General features: G+C 48.9%; 1 non-coding gene across 1 annotated transcript; it reads right to left on the reverse strand.

Annotated features, from left to right (window-relative positions):
• Positions 1-13,208: 13,208 nt before the first annotated feature.
• Positions 13,209-13,289, reverse strand: MIR378C (microRNA 378c). The gene has a single exon (NR_036180.1). It is a non-coding gene; the product is annotated as a microRNA 378c (primary transcript).
• Between the last annotated feature and the right edge of the window lie 3,370 nt (positions 13,290-16,659).

The following is a 16,659-nucleotide window of genomic DNA, read 5'->3' on the forward strand; positions in this document are numbered from 1 at the left end:
CATTGCTATTCATGCCTGTGAATCCCTGGAATTTCTCCAGACAAAAACTGACACCCATGGACCTGAGACTGCCTGGCTGGAAGTGCAGGACAGAGGTAGCATGACCACCCAGAGAGAGAAGAGCCCAGGCCCAAGCCCCAGGCCGGCTGTGCTGGGAGCCTCTTGTCGCCCCAGAGCCTTTTAGCGTGGGACTCACCTCCTCCCAATTCAAAGTTAAAGTGCCTCCCTGGCTTTGTCCCCTCCCCTGCCTAGGCCATTCCACCTGACAAGACTATGCACTAGGCTTTGCCTTGCTCTCCCAGTGTTCCTGAGACCCACTATGCACCAGCCTCCCTCTGCCCCGCACCAGATGGTATCCCTCCCCCGCTTCCTGGGCTGATCAGAGCATGAACGGTGCTGACTGAAGACGTGGTGGGGACCCCTGGGAAGAACAAGAGCTTGTAATTGCACCCTGGCCGGGTGAAAGCAGATGCCCACAAAAGTGACAGTAGAGTTAGGTCGGTGAGTCCTGGCACGAAAAGGCTCCGTCCTCCCTCCCCCAGTTGGTCTTATTTTGACATTATAAGGGACAAGTCCTTGATTCTTGACTGTCCCAGCCATGCTCAGAACACGGCCCCCAGGGGCAACATGGTGCTTTGGTGGTGGGGCAGTGTCCCCGGGACAGGCCCCCACACCAGACTGGGGCTCACTGGAGCCTGTGGTTCCAGCTGCCCTCTGGGGGTATCACACCGCCTTCTTAGGCAGTGATGCAGCTCACTATAAACCTAAGACACCCACAGAATCTATGGTAACATAATTCCAGGCACTTTAAGGCACTATCAGTTACAACCTCCAAATAAAACAAACCTGGATCAAAATTTATTTCATGTCAGAATTTTATCATAGTTATAAACTCTATCAGGGCTTGAAAGCACTGTGACATTAAATTTATCCACACTGCAAGACAGAAAGCCAGGGAGGGGACGAGTCATATTTGTTGGTTTTATTTTACCACCAGTACATTGAGAAATTAAATGGCTGCCGTTTCCTAAATATACCAAAATGCTCAGTTAATTCTGCTCCCTGGCTTAAGCCCATCAGTACAGTTCATGTAAATATTTCTCCCCAAGTGTTTTGAGTCATCCCTTGATGGTCCAAACTGTTCTTCGTTTGGGCGCGGTTATTGACGTGTATAGAAATTAGAAGGTATTGACAAGCAATAGACACGGCTATGGGTATCTAGCCCTGGGGTTCTCACCTCTGGCTACAAAAGGGACATTTAAAAATCGAACGACAGGTCTCCTTCCCTGAACAACGCAAAGCAAACCTCTGCAATGGGTACCACGTTTGAGAATTGAAAACCTGATTTCCTAAGTGATTCTGTGGCACAGCGAGGGTTTTCAGCCACACCAGCACGTCCCAAACCGCGTGGGGTGTGCAAGCTTACTGGGGATCTGGTTAAAATGCACACTCCAGCTCAATAGGTCCAGGACAAACCCGGAGAGCCTGCGTTTCTAACATTTCCCCCCCATGGACACTGATGGTGCTGCTCCAACAAGACCCACTAGTGGGAGGGCAGAGCCCCCGCACCGAAGATATGGGGTCCTGTCACTGTCATGCTCGCTGTGGGGGCCAGAATCCTCACAGGACCTCCCTGGGTGATAGCAGGTCCAGCCCTGGACAGTGGTGCAGGGTTCCCAGCTCCCACCAGATGGTCCTTCCATCTCACCATAGCTACAAGGTAACTGTGGCTATGTTGAGAATTAGGGTGACAAGGCCCTACCTTGCCATCGGGAACAGCACCTGCTGTCCCCATAGAACCGTGTGTGTCTGTGACTCTGAAATTGTGAATGTCAGTTGTTTGCACCATCTAGAAAAGCTGAGATGCAGGTGTTGAGAAAATACCATGGCAACCAGGGCTATTGCCCTGCGTCATGCTGGACAGATGCCCTTACCCTTGGCTTCAAAGCCGCCACAGAGCCTTTATCCGAGACCATCTCACTCTGAGCAAAGAAAACTTTCTGTGAAGGAGCAGTTGGATGACCAGAGTGAGCACAGGATAAGAAAATTACACCTCAGACAGCTTCGGCCAGCATACAGTTACAGGGTATTTAGCAACTCAGTGCTGCCCAAGTAAATAGTAGCGGTGACGCCAGTTCAACTGTTCTTGCAAGGGCAAGACAAGCTGGATTCCATGATATAGAGAAATACCACCTGTTTTTCAGCCAATCGTATCTTGCAATCTTTGCAGTTTTTACCCGATTAAATAATCCCGAGGACTTATCAGCAAAATGGAAGGAGAATCATATCAGAGTCAGAACCTGTCTGCCATCCTCCATATGGAGATAAGAGTGAGGATCCCTGGGCTTGCAACTGAAGGCAGTCAAGGACAGAGGCTGTGGAGTTGGAGAAGGAAATGGAAGCATAACCCACAAGCCATGGTCCCCACCCTGGTGCCTCAGTGGTCCCAGAAGCCATCACTTGCTGGCTAAAACCCAGAGGCGGCTCTGCCTGCTACTCTAGTCACCAAGGGCTGTGCTCAATACACAGCCCTGCAACATAACCTAAAAGTCACAAGGTGGCCTTCCTCCCAAGAGAGTCTTCATCTCACTAGCAAAAAACCTCAGTGTCCACTCCCAAGGAAGACACTTAGATGTGGAAGGTCAGGCCTTAGAAAGGGTGCTACCTCTTCAAAGAGCTCACCATATTTTTAAATAAAAAATGTTTGTATTTTATTTTAACTTTGTCAGTGATTCATAGCAGTAAAAATGTAAAACAAAACTTACATTCACATCACCAACACGACCATCTGAAAAACATATCTTTTTACCTTTCCGTGTCTGTAACTAGAAACCTGACGGGGCGGCGACTGGCTCTCTTCTCTATTCCTGCAAGCCCAGGGCACACACATGGTCTGGGATAGGGGCTGAGACAGGGCTGTGTGGTCTCCACCTCTGCCAGGAGAAAGGGGGACATCCCCCAAGGCAGCCTCATAGGAGAGCCAAAGGGCAAACTCATTTCAAATAGGATCAGTTGCCAATTTGAGGCTCTCAGCCCTAGAACAGGGCCAGGCCCCTGGTAGGTCCTCAGTCAATACTTGGGAGAGAATAAAGAAATGATTATTTCTTCTTTTTTTCTTCTTTTTTTGTGGGGAGCGGGGGAGGGGGATGGTGTCTGTCTCTGTCACCCAGGCTGGAGTGCAGGGGCACAATCTCAGCTCACTGCAACCTCCGCCTCCCAGGTTCAAGCAATTCTCCTGCCTCAGCCTCCTGAGTAGCTGGGATTACAGGCACCTGCTGCCACACCCGGCTAATTTTTTGTATTTTTAGTAGAGACAGGGTTTCACCATGTTGGCCAGGATGGTCTCGAACTCCTAACCTCAGGTGATCCACCCGCGTCAGCCTCCCAAAGTGTTGGGATTACAGGCGTGAGCCACCCTGCCCGGCCAATGATTATCTCTTCTGAAAAAGAATTTGAAATACGAGTCTTGAGCTTTTGATCAAAGAAATCTATCCAAAGAGAAGGGAAATTCTCAAAAGAGAAAGTATTTTCTCCACTGGGATGTTGAAAGAGTCTTATTTGTAAAACTAAGAATTAAAAATAAATATCTGACAATATATCATGAAAAATAGATTCAACAAAAAATGTTTGATCTTTCGTAACGTTGTGAAATTCTTTATTTTCTGTTGATGGGACTGCAAATTGTGAAAACATGTTCAGGAGGGTAATTTGGTAACTAGCATCAAAGAGTGGTCAAAAAGTTTTGGCATCACTTGTAGGGATTCATCTTAAATGCATAATCAGAGAAGCAGGGAATGTGCGTGCCAATGTGCCCCGCCGGAAGGCATTTCTAATGTTACCTTGGTAGGAGTAGGTGCGTGGAATGAATTAGGGGAGTCATCAGTATGACAGTAAAAAGTGGAGTCTCTGAAGACAGACAGGTCCTGTGTCCTCGGGAGACTGGGGCCAGGCGCATGATAGCGCTGTACTTCCAACCATGGGCTCATCACAGTGCCTACCTGGCGGTGGTGTTAGCAGATTTAATACGGTCACACTCGAAAGTGCTTAGCTCATACCTGGCTTATAGGAGGCACGTGATAGGTTGGACATCATCCTCATGGTGAGGTCAAACTCGACAGGCAGGTGGTATGATCGCCCCTTTTTCTACACCAGGTCGCACCTTGGTGAGAGAGTCCAGCAGGTTACAGGACAGGTGAGCCAGGTTCTGTGCTTGCTCCATGCCAGACACAAGGATCACACCTTGGAAATGATACCTCAGTGAATCTCCATGAAGAATCCTTTGCAGTAACAACCGCTTCTGTATGAAGACACTGAGATCAAGAGAAGTTAAATAGTAAGCTGAGATTTGAGGCCAGATCAGACTGCATTCATTCAATAGACATTTATTGAGAATCTACTTTGTGGCAAAGAGTTGCAAGGTCCTGAGAAGCATCACTGAACAGGTGAAGACCCCAGTCCCTAGAATATTTATCTCCACCAGGAGATAAACCACGGACAGCATGCACAATACCCATGCAAATCGTACAGCATGTTGGTAGGCGAGAAGTCCTGTGGGACGTTGTAAGGACAGGGAAGAGGTGAAGGAGGACTGTCACAGCAGACTTCACTGAGAAGTGGACATCTGAGAAAGAACTTGAAGGTGGTCATGAAGTTATCTAAACAACACATAAAGGTATTGCTGTGAGGGTAGGTTATTTTTTTTAATTATATTTTAAGTTCTAGAGTACGTGTGCAAAATGTGCAGGTTTGTTTCATAGGTATTCATATGCTTCAATGCCCAGGTCCTGGCAGCGCTGCTGTATTATAATTTTGCAAGATGTTCTCACTTGGGGGTGGGGGGATGGGTAAAGGATTCACAGGAATCTCAGAATTATTTCACATAATTGCTTGTGAATCTACAATTATCAATTATGTCAAAACAAAAGGTTTAATTAACATGTAAGCATGTATATACATAAGTAAAATAGGTACACCTGTGTATATGTATACATATGCATGCATGTATGCACAGGTGCATGTACACATGGGGGAGTGCAGCAGATCCCTCCTGCTCTGTGGGATGCTGCTGCAGAGGTAGGCGCCATCAGCCCTGGTCTTACTCAGCTGACAGCTGTGTTCAACGCACCAGTCCCGTTCTTCCCTCTTGGATGCTCGCCCGACTCCTCCTGGCTCAGGGCTTATCCTCTCAGTCTCCTCTGCTGGATTATCCTCTTATCCCAAATGTCCTGACACTGAGAGCAGTCATGAGGTGCCTCTCTTACTTACACTCCCTATGACTGATCTGTCCAGGCCTACTTGGCACGGCTACCTGGCCATCCCATTAATACCACCCACTCAGTGTGCCCACGCTAACCTCCACCTTGTTCAGCAGCATCTGGGTCTTCCCATCTCATCCTCCAGGTGGCCCTGAACGAAGTCTGGGTGTGGGCTTTCATGCTGCACTTTCTCTCACATCCAAATCTAGTCCATCAGCAAATCATACTTGCACCAACCTCAAAACCCACAGGAAAGCTCTCAGCTCCTACCATATCCATTGCTGCTCCTTGGCTCTCCACTTCCTCCACTAATATATTTTCCACTCAGGAGCCAGAATAATTTTGTAAGTCAAAACCTGTCATCTCAATGCTCAAAACACAGTAACAGCTCCTGACTTCCCCCAAAGTGAAAGTCAAAGTTCCTGAGTATCTAAAGGGTCCTGTGGGATCCGACCACCCTTTTCTTCTCCGAGAGTCCCTAGGTATCCACATGGACCTGCCATGGGACCTGGCCATCTGTCACGTGTCTGCACTGAGCTGCACTGACACCCTCATTTCTCATGCAATTTAACCCACACTGACCTCCTGCTTGTTTCAAATACACCAGGCTCATTCGACGTTTGCTCTGGGCATCCACTCTGCCTTGGACTACGTTCATTCAACACGTATTTATTGAGAATCTACTTCATGCCAAAGAGTTACAAGGCAGGTTGTCCCTGTTTATCACAGAGTAGTGTTCCGTTGTATGGACACGCCGCTGTGTGTCTCTTCACTGACTGATGGACATTTGGGTTCTTTTCAGTGTGGGGCTGTGTTGAATAAAGCTGCTATAAACATTTGCATACAGATTTTTGTGTGAATATACGATTTTTAAAATGTTCTTTTGGTAAATATTCATAAGTAGAATTGCTAGGTTATGTGAGAGTTGTATGTTAACTTTACAGAAAACTGACAAATGATTTTCCAAAGTGGTTGAATCATTCTGCACTCCCAGTAGCAATGTATGAGAGTTCTGGTTGCTCCACCTTCCTTCCAACACTTGGTACAGACATCTTTTAAAATTTCAGCTTCCCTAGTGGGTGTGTGGTGTCTCATTTCAGTCTCCAATATATGTAAACTTTTTAAAAGCGTGTGGTGTAAAAGTGTGATGTGTAGATTTCAGCTTTCATCAGTTCACACAGGATTGTTGTTAGGAGTTAGCTCTGAGTGATTTAGCAATAGTTCGTTTTTCTTTTAGCTCTCATGTATTTTAAAATTATTTTCTATTATTAGCACAGTTGTATTATCTAATTAAATTGGAAAATAATGCAAACATAAAATAAAGCAGAAAGTGTTTCTGAAATATATGGCCAGCTTATCCTCAATGAAAATGCATGGAAACCTGATGTTGGGGCCCAAACATTTTCTAAGGAACAGAAGTCCTTTATCCTACATCATAAAGCAGGTTAGGCCAGGACTGAGGCCAGAATGTGAACCTTGCATTAAAATAGGGGAACATCACACACCGGGGCCTGTTGTGGGGTCGGGGGAGGGGGGATGAATAGCATTGGGAGGTATACCTAATGTTGGATGACAAGTTAATGGGTGCAGCACACCAACATGACACATGTATACATATGTAACTAACCTGCACATTGTGCACATGTACCCTAAAACTTAAAGTATAATTAAAAAAAAGAAAAAAAAATACAATGAAACGGAGCCAGTGTGAGTTGGCATAGATGCAATGCCCTACGGCTTGCAGGAGGTGCAGACACAGCCGCTCTTCCCAGGACACTTTAAGACCGAGCAGTGGACAGCTCCAGGGACTTAGGAAGCACTGAACAAGGGCCGGGGCTGTTTCAGAGCAGAGCCAGGCGCACTCCTTGGGCAAGGAAGGGCCTCAGGGAGGGGTCCACAGAGGGCTCCGGGAGTCTTGCTCACTCTATGCCTTCACTCTGTGGTCCTGGACTTCGGGAATTTGAGCTGCAATTCAATTAAAGAGGAATAATGAAGACTTAACATATTTTCAATGGTTTTGTTACGTTTTACTAAGCAATGCCATGAGAAAACAGCATGTTATTTAAGAAAAGTTCAGTGCACTGTATGTGTAGGTGTGAATATTCGTATGTAAAAGATGACATCATGCAATGCAATTCCATGGACTGTTTCCTTGAAGCAGTAACTCTGTCAGACTGGGGGTCTATTTTGGACACTAGAGCCGCAAGTGGAGCTCAGATATCCAATTTATGGGGCACGTCTGATAATTAACTTCAAAAGTACAGAGTCAAATAGGATTGTGGACATAAAAGACACATCCTTAGCCTCGTTGTGCATTTTCATTCGCTTTGGAGCATATTGATGATCATGGGACCCTTGGGAGCCACAGCACCCAGGCCTCAGGTTTGAGGGTCAAGGCAGACTCCCCCTGACCCCCTATCTCTTAGAGGTCTAGGAACAAGGCAGAACTTTATTAGCAGGTGGAAAATCCAGCAAGTGAGGGTTTCAGGAGGGGGACAGCAGGACCCACAGTCCCTAAATGACCCCCTTCCCAGAGGACTGCTCAACTTTGGGTTTCTGTCATCCCAGATAAAGCAGTCAATATTTTATCTGACAAGCACAACCCAACCAGATGAACCACGAAACCAGCTCTGCCCCTTTACTCTCTGGGACCGCACCCTCCATTTGGATTTCTTCTATAATTTTAAATATACCGATCTTAAATAAATCACGTCTTGTTTCCTTGCTGTACACAGAAAGTCCTGTTACCTGTGCGTATAGCACAGCACCTAGAACGGGTGATCTGGACATAGAAGTTGCTTAGTAGCTGTTTGTGAAATGAATCAAACAGGTGAGAGCAGTTGACAGCATCAGCCAGTGACCAGGTAACGGGGAGGGCCATTCATCCAGAAGACCAGAGTCTGCACCCCACTTAGCATGAACACACAAGGGAAGAAGAGGCAGATGATGGGAAATGGTCAAAAGACTCACACAGGGCTATGGAAGAGAAGGGCCAGGGAGGGCCCAACTGGATGAAGCCTTAGAAACACCTGCCCAGACATTCGGGTGGCCGTGGTCCTCAGTGCCTGACATGGCTCTCAAGGCAAGTTCCTCTCCTCAGACACTGCCTCTTAGCAATTCACGATCCATGCCAAATACAGGCTCGGGCTCTGCAGGTGTCAGAAGGTCAGTGTCATGGAGCTAGACTGATGCTCCATAGATATTCCTCAGAATGCTTGCAGCTCCCACAAAGGAACAACTAAAGAAAAACGATATTCCCTTATGAATAAATAGACAAAAGCATAGACAAAAGAATAGCAAAAGCTGTTTTGTGTTCCAAGAGCCTCCTACAGCTTTTAAAAATAGACTGCTTTCCGTAATAAGAACAATGATTATTTTTAAAAAGGCTAGTAACTCCTGGCCCATAAATCCAGGGAACAGCTAAACCTACCACAAGAGCTCCTCCTTCTAATATAAGCCCTCCAATTCTCGATTAAGCTGCTAACTAGGTCATTAACAACAGACCCGTGGCCCCCATCAGCCCCCCGCTGGCCTGCTTACCGGCTGCACTGGGAAGTGGAGAGCTTGGAATGATCGATAGCAACTCTGTCAAGGGCCTCGCTCATATTCTTTCCTGGGGAACCTTGTGGGGATGATATCTTGTGGGCCTGTCTGAGTCAACAATAAATAAGCTCATAGTAATTTTCTTTGGAAAGATGAATGTAGTATAGGCCTTTACAGTTTTGGGGGTTTACAGTAAATGGTGCTACAGGAATCAGTCATGCTTGGAGAAAAGAGCAAAGGACAGTGATTGTAGCTAAGACCAAATTAAATTAGGGAGGAACGGATGCAATAGCTGCTAGTCTAATTTCCTTGCTGTACACGTGAAGTCCTGTTACCTGCATGGCCATCACCGCACTCTAATAACTATTGAATACCATTTGATGTATAGCACAGTCGGTCCTTTGTAACTGTGGGCACCACATCTGTGGATTCTAGCAACCGCAGATCAGATATATTTGGGAAAAAAAAAATTGCACCAAGCTCCAGAAATCAAAACTTGAATTTGCTGCATGCCAAGTACTGTATAGAATCCATGCAAATTGAGTGATGTGTAAGCATTGCATTAAGCATTATAAGAAATCTGGAAATGATTTAAAGTGTAAGAGAGGATGTGTGTAGGATGCACAAATACTTTGCTATTTTATATAGGAGACTGGAGCACTGTGGATTTGGGTATCCATGGAGGGTCCTGGAAACAGTTTTTCATGTATACCTAGGGATGACTGTATATACATGTGCGTGTGCACACACATGCACACACACTCGGTCATGCTTCTCAGGTGATCAGACCCAGGAAACCCAGTGTCTGTGTGTTCCTGAGGTTTCATGTACATCAGAGATGGTGTTAGTACGAAGGTGGACTGCACATGGAGCTCAGTGTGGTCACCAGCAGGGGAGGTGCCCATGAACCCGGCTCCATCTGAATTCTGTCCATGGGAGCCAACAGGTGGATGTGCGTTCAGTGTGGTCACCAGCAGGGGAGGTGCCCATGAGCCCGGCTGCATCTGAATTCTGTCCATGGGAGCCAACAGGTGAATATGCGCTCCGCAAGCCCGGTTGCTGCTGTGTCAGTCCCAGGACATTTGCTTCTGGAAGTGTTAATGACCGAATGTGTCCAGGTCAGAGCTCACTCCCAAGTAGAGCCAGTGCCCTTCATTGAAGTCTGTACGCGTCGTAAGCCCAGTGTGCCTAGCACCGTTCTGCAGCCGTCCCTTCTCCTTGCTTTCCCATGCTGCCCCACTCCACCCCCATTGCTGCTATGGCTCTCATCTCTCCCGTGCTCCTAAGCTAAGTGTGCACCCCACTGCTCACCGAATTACTCAAGACACAGACTTCAGTGTGATCTTTGGCTCTTTCCCTCCCTCAATCCCCTAAATCTAATCAGTGGCCAGGTTCTGTCCATTCTAAATCAGAAGTCTCTTCAATCCCAGCTATTTCCCAAGTCCAGAATGAGGTCCTGTCTTCTAGTCACAACAACCTTGCCACCGGGCTCCCTGCAATCCACCTCCACCCTGCAGCCTGCATGACCATGCTAAAATAGAAATCTCCTCTTGTGGCCCCTCCAAGGGATTCTCTTCATGTGTCATAAGAAAAATAAAAACTGCTTTACATGGGCTCTGGAATGACAGCCACTGCAATAGTTGACGTCTCTGTGAGTGAGTTGCCTGTGTGTTCACGTTTTGATGACTGCACAACCCTCTGGTGAGATGAGTGCTAATATTGTCACTGTTTGCAGATCAAGAGCCTAAGGATTAGAAAAGTGAACAGGGCCTTGGAAACCACTCCAGCTGACACAAAAGTCATCTCTCCATCGCCGAGCCCGCCTGACCCCGCTCACCTCTCCAGCCCCACTTCCTGCCCCACATCTGGCCTTTGGAGCCTTAGCCTTGATCTCTTTGCCCTTGATGCCTCTTTCGTTGGCTTACAGAGCTTGTATTCATCTTTGAGCTCCCAGCTTCATCCTCACTTCCTTCAGGAAGCCTTCCTTGGTTTCTGCGGTGTGCTTCAGTAACACCACCTGGCACTTGCTGTGACAGAGCTGCTTACTGCCCAGGGAGCTTGTCTCCTACACATTCATGAAAGCTCCCTGTGGACAAGGGACATCTTATCTGTGCATTTCCAAAAAGTCAGAGCTCAACTCATAGTAGATGCTTTAATGTGATGAATGACAATGACAAAAACTTGGCAGCCTCAATTCAGTTTGTTGTGGACATTCTGCTATATTTCGGGTTGTGATTGTTGAGGTGGGGGAATGAATGCTGCTATGGAGAGGGAATCTGGATGTATCTGCACATTCAGAGCCTTTCATTTGCTTAAAAAGGGGGGCTGCACCAACTGTGTGCGGGTCTCAGATGGGTGTCCTCAGCGACAGAAATGGGTGGACCCCGGTCACCTGTACCTGTGAATATGCACACATTTGCCTGAAAGTGGTCCCATGGAGGAGGGGTGAGCAGAGGGTATGCTGTGCCCGTGGGATGATTGTGTGGGAACAGGAGTAGACGTGGTGGCCTGTGGACCAAAGCCTCAAAGCCAATTTGCCTGTGGCCGAGAATTGTGCCTCCAAGACCTGTTCTTGCACTGTGTCCTCGGGTTCTGTCCCAGAGGCTAAGGCTGGGTATTGGGGGCAGATGGTGGCAATGCCATCTTCTGGAAGGCATGTGGCATGATGCACTTACCTTGACTCACTTTGTGATGCTCACGTTTGGCCTTGGCGGGAGTTCAGTCAGATTCTGAGCTTCTGCTGAGGCCCAATGTCACTGTGTAGCCACTTCCTCTTCTTCCGATTGAGGCCTTAGCTGGGCCCCCTCTCTCTGAGGGGTTCACACAGAACACAGTCTGTCCCCCCAAAACCTGATCCTCCCACATCCTGAAGCAGGGGTATCAGTGGGGGAATGCATGGCAAAGCTAATCATCTGATTTTTATATTTCTAAAGCTGGGGAGCACCTCAAACTTTCCAGCAGACCCAGCTAGCTGGTAATGGCACTTGACTTTGCCATGGCCTTATAGCTCATCTCTGTCTTTCAGCAGATGTGACACAAGTCAAGTCAGCATCTGTCCACCCTGGTTGTCTTTACAGAGCTGGTCAGTGGTGGGTGCCAGGGGCAGGCCTCTGTTTTCACCCTGTTTCTCCCCTGAAGCCATGTGAGTTGGCATGAACATACAAGAATAGAGGTCTGAGAGTGTCCCTGTCCTGGTCGTGACCTCAGTCCACTTTTCTAGCTGGCTCCTTTATTTGGACAATGATCATTTCTCAAAATCCAGGTGAGACATGACAATCCCATCACGTTTCATCATGATGCAATGGCAGGAATTCTGGAAAACCCCAGTGAGACTGATTCACTTTCTAACCCATGTTTCTCATTTCAGGTAGAGAGAGCCACAGCTTGCCCATCAGCACAATGGTGAGAATTAACTAAACATGTGTATCTTGAGGTACATCTGGGAGGTGGGTGACAATGCAAAAGACCCTATCAGGAGACACCCAGACACTTAGAATCTGTCTTGAGGGTCACAACCAGTGTGAGTGGATGTGATAAATGCAGGTGCAGCTTAGATGATAAATACCTTAGGCAGTCCCCCAAGGAAGAGACCAGTGCATGTGCAGATAGCTCGGGGAAGAGAAAGTCTGGGGTGGGGTGGGGGTCTTTCTGCACAGTGCTCTGGCTGTGGAGCTGGAATACCAGGATTGCTCCCACTGGAGACAGAGGCACTTTGTCATGGCACCTTGCATGAGTGGATGTGGGCATAACCACCTTCCTTGAAAGGGGGGTTGAGATTCAGAGGCAGACACTGAGCCCCTCCTTGGCCCCTCCTATCTGCCCTCCTCCTATGAGCATGAGCAGCTTCTACCCCATCTCTGTGTGCCTCGCAGGTTCACAGCTTCCTCAGCTCCCATCTCTCGTCTTGGAGGTTGTCTTCTGTGCTCCCTCATCTCGCCTCCTTTGTGTGCTCATTGACATCTCTGCGGACAGAGTGTCAGTCCTGTCCCTCCAAGCCCTTCCTGAGACCCCAGTACCACTCCCTCTTCCCTGAGACCAGGGTCCTCCTCTCCTGGGCACACCTGCTCCTCCCCTCTCAATGCAGCTGGGGGAACTGGAACCTCTTGGTTGCAAACAGCATTGGCTGATGCTGCACCCATGGGCCTGGGCATCCTCGAGGGCCAGGAAGCTGAGTAGTGGGAGTACCCACGGGGTGAGTGGAGCCAACATTCACCCTTGCCCGAGGCTCTGATCTCGGCAATGGGAACCCCCGCTGGTCTTGGAGGAGAGGCCACCAAGAGATGAAATCACTCGTGCTTGGTGGCATGGTGGCATCTGCGGTGCTCACTTTTCCATACTTGCTGTCTTCCCTGGTTTCATCCTCCCAGGGCAGTTACTTTTTATCCTCACCATGCATGAACGTTTGAGTTTGAGGCACTCACCACCTTCAAAGTCAGAGTTGAAGTCTGACCCGACTCCACTCTTCTGACTCCAAGTCCAGTGATGGCCTCCGAGTGGAGGGTGGAGGATTCCGTGGGTGGCCCTGGGAGCTACAGCAGGAGGGGAGGCTCCTGCACTGAGGAGCAGTAAGGCTCAGGGGTGGCCGTGTACACTGAGACGGGAGCTCCCAGGGCAGCCCAGAGGGAAGTGACCACCTCACGTGGTGACCTCATGTGAGGGACTGGTTTCCCTAGAAGCAGAGCTGGAAACAAGGGCTCTGGTTCAAGCGCATAAGGCAGTGTCTCAGGAGAAACCCTTGACGGAGGGAGAGAAGCAGTGAAAATAAGAGAGGAAGCTGAAGAATGCAGCTTAGGGTCAAGGGCAGCCTCAATCTGCCCCGCGGGGACCCTGGATCATCCACATTGCTGTGGCGTCTGCCCTACCTGAATGCTCTGGGCCACCCTGGTTGGGCTGGGGTGTCCTGTCATCCACAAGCCTTCAGGCAAGGCAGCTCCAGCCTCCCAGGGCAGCCTCGGTGGAGGCTGCAGGTGCGAGCTGTTAGCAGCATCCTTCACCAGGAAGCAGCTGGCAAAGAAGATCCTTGGGTCCCCAGCAGGGCCCAGCAGGGTCCATCCATGGGCGAAGAGAAGACTAGAAGGCTCCACATCCCCACCTCCAGCTCTGGGCAGACGGGCAGCTGGGCCAGGCAGAGCTAGGAAGCTATGAAGGGCGTTATTTATTTTAAGTTTGGACACGTTTAGGTTAGAAGATGAATTGTCGGCAGGGCGCGGTGGCTCACTCAGCACTTTGGGAGGCTGAGGCGGGCGGATCATGAGGTCAGGAGATGGAGACCATCCTGGCTAACACGGTGAAACCTGTCTCTGCTAAAAATAAACATAAAAAAAATGTAAAATAAAAATAAAAATTAGCCGGGCGTAGTGGCAGGTGCCTGTAGTCCCAGCTACTCGGGAGGCTGAGGCAAGAGAATGGCGTGAACCCGGGAGGCGGAGCTTGCAGTGAGCCAAGATGGCGCCACTGGACTCCAGCCTGGGGGACAAAGCGAGACTCTGTCTCTGTCTCAAAAAAAAAAAAAAAAAAAAAAAAAAAGAGAGAGAGAGAGAAGATGAATTGTCTCCCAGTCAACCAGAAATCCAGGTTACCAAAGGCAATGGATGGAACCAGAGAGGAAGCCTTAATGTAGAACTGAAGGGGGGCAACCCAGGGTGCAGTTGAGTGACTCAAGAGAAGAGGGGGAAGGCCCTGCGAGGGCTGAGCCAGCCATGGAGAGGAAGGCCTGGCTAGGAGGCAGAATGGGCAGGAGCTCAGGCCACTGAAGAGGAGCCGTCCCCTGGCTGATCCCAGTGATGCAGAGAAGCCAGGGAGGGAGGGAGAACGGGGAGATGACCCCCATCTCCAGGAGAGATACTCCTCTGGGGAGAGGGCTGGTGCCACTTTCCCTCTAATGCTATAAAATAGGGAGCCTCACTGGGCCATGGGCCATGCAGATCTCTAGCCAAAAGTGAGTTCGGATGTGGCTATTGGTAGTGGGGGACTTGGAAGTTGTTAGGGGACCAGAAAAGGCTGGGTGTACTGGTCCTAGGTAAGGAGTATGTTTGTCACATGAAGGGGACTACCCGTCAGCCCAGTGCAGAGGTAGGAGCCTGCAGAGTGAGACTGGGCAAGGGGAGGGCTGGAGATTGCAGGAGAAAGAGCCACTAAGTCAGCGAGAGCATGCACGGTGAGGAAGAAGGAAGCCTTGCGGGGAACAGCCCAGCTGGCCTCGCCAGGAAGGCCCTTCCGCGTTTCCTCCTGCTGATTCACAACCAGGAGTAGGAAAGTGCAGGGGGCAGAGGGCCGCACCTCAGCGTGACCACCATCCATCTGTCCTTCCTGGCGGCTCCATGCTCCGGGGAGACGTCTGTAAGCATTAGCCCATGAGGAGGAAAGGAGACGATATATTCACAGACACTTTGGGAATAAAAGTGCTCCATAAATACAAAGAGTTAGCACCATGTCAAGGCAGAATTTATTTCAGAAACACAGCCTGATGCTCTGGGATGCTGAAATGCCAGGGCACCACACCATCTTGGTGATATGTTTGTCATTTGAATAGGTACATCTCTGCTTCCCCCATGCCGGCCAGGCCCAGAAGGAGACAGAAATAAATCAGCGGAAATTATCTATTTTCTACAGTGTCAAAACAACACTTTCTATGTTGGAGTTGGGAGAAAACCAATTCACCTCTTTTCCCAACCAGCAGAAACACGTTGCATCTCCCGAGTGTCCCAGGGAGAAGAAAGAAGAGAAACAAGAGAAGGTGGAGCCCGGGTACTGGGGGCTTCCGCTGAAGAGCACCTTTCCCACCGCACCTTAACCCCGGGATCTAGAGGACTCCTGGGAAAATGGTTCTGCAGCTTACCATCCATCTAGGGAACATTTCCAGGAGACTCACGAACCCACTGACCTTCCCTGCACCCAGCTACCTGCCCCTTTGAAGGGCGCCCAGCAGGCTGGCCTCCAGGTCCCCATCCTGTAAACCAAACTCCTGGGGTCTGGGTCTTTTCTTCGTGTACCATGACTCATTTACTTGATCCAATTCCTCCTTTTCTTTTTTCTTTTTTTGAGATGGAGTTTCACTCTTGTTGCCCAGGCTGGAGTGCAATGGCACGATCTTGGCTCACTGCAACCTCCACCTCCCAGGTTCAAGCAATTCTCCTGCCTCGCCTCCCAAGTAGCTGGAATTACAGGCGCCTGCCACCATGCCCAACAAATTTTTGTGTTTTTAGTAGAGAGGGGTTTCATCATGTTGGCCAGGCTGGTCTCAAACTGCTGACCTCAGGTGATTCACCTGCCTTGTTCTCCCAAAATGCTGAGATTATAGGCGTGAGCCACTGCAACTAGCCCCAGTTCATCCTTTTCAACTCTTAGTACAACTGCACAGAGATGTGTCATCCTGGAAAGGGACTGACATTCTCATGGCAGACAGCTGAGACATCAGCAGGAAAACACTGACCAAGGAGACCAGAGACACAGGTCCTGGTCAAGTCCTGGCTCAGTGAATTCACTGGAAAATGTGAGTTGGAAATATTTGCCTTGCAGATCTGGAGTTACTAATAGAATCAAGTGGTAATGTTTAATTAAATCTCCTGCAAACTGTGAGGGTGGTATCTACTCTTATTTGATTGAAGTATCTTCTACATAGTGGTGGCTCATGCCTGTAATCCTAGGAGTTCGAGACCAGCCTGGCCAACATGGTGAGACCCTGTCTCTAATAAAAATACAAAAAATTAGCCAGGTGCAGTGGTTCATGCCTGTAATCTGAGCAACTCGGGAGGCTGAGGTGGGAGGATCGCTTGAACCTAGGAGGTCGAGGCTGTAGTGACCCAAGATCACACCACTGAACTTCAGCCTGGGCAACAGAGCAAGACCTTGTTTTAAAAAA

Source organism: Homo sapiens, chromosome 10 (assembly GCF_000001405.40).
Source record: "Homo sapiens chromosome 10, GRCh38.p14 Primary Assembly".
NCBI lineage: Eukaryota > Metazoa > Chordata > Mammalia > Primates > Hominidae > Homo > Homo sapiens.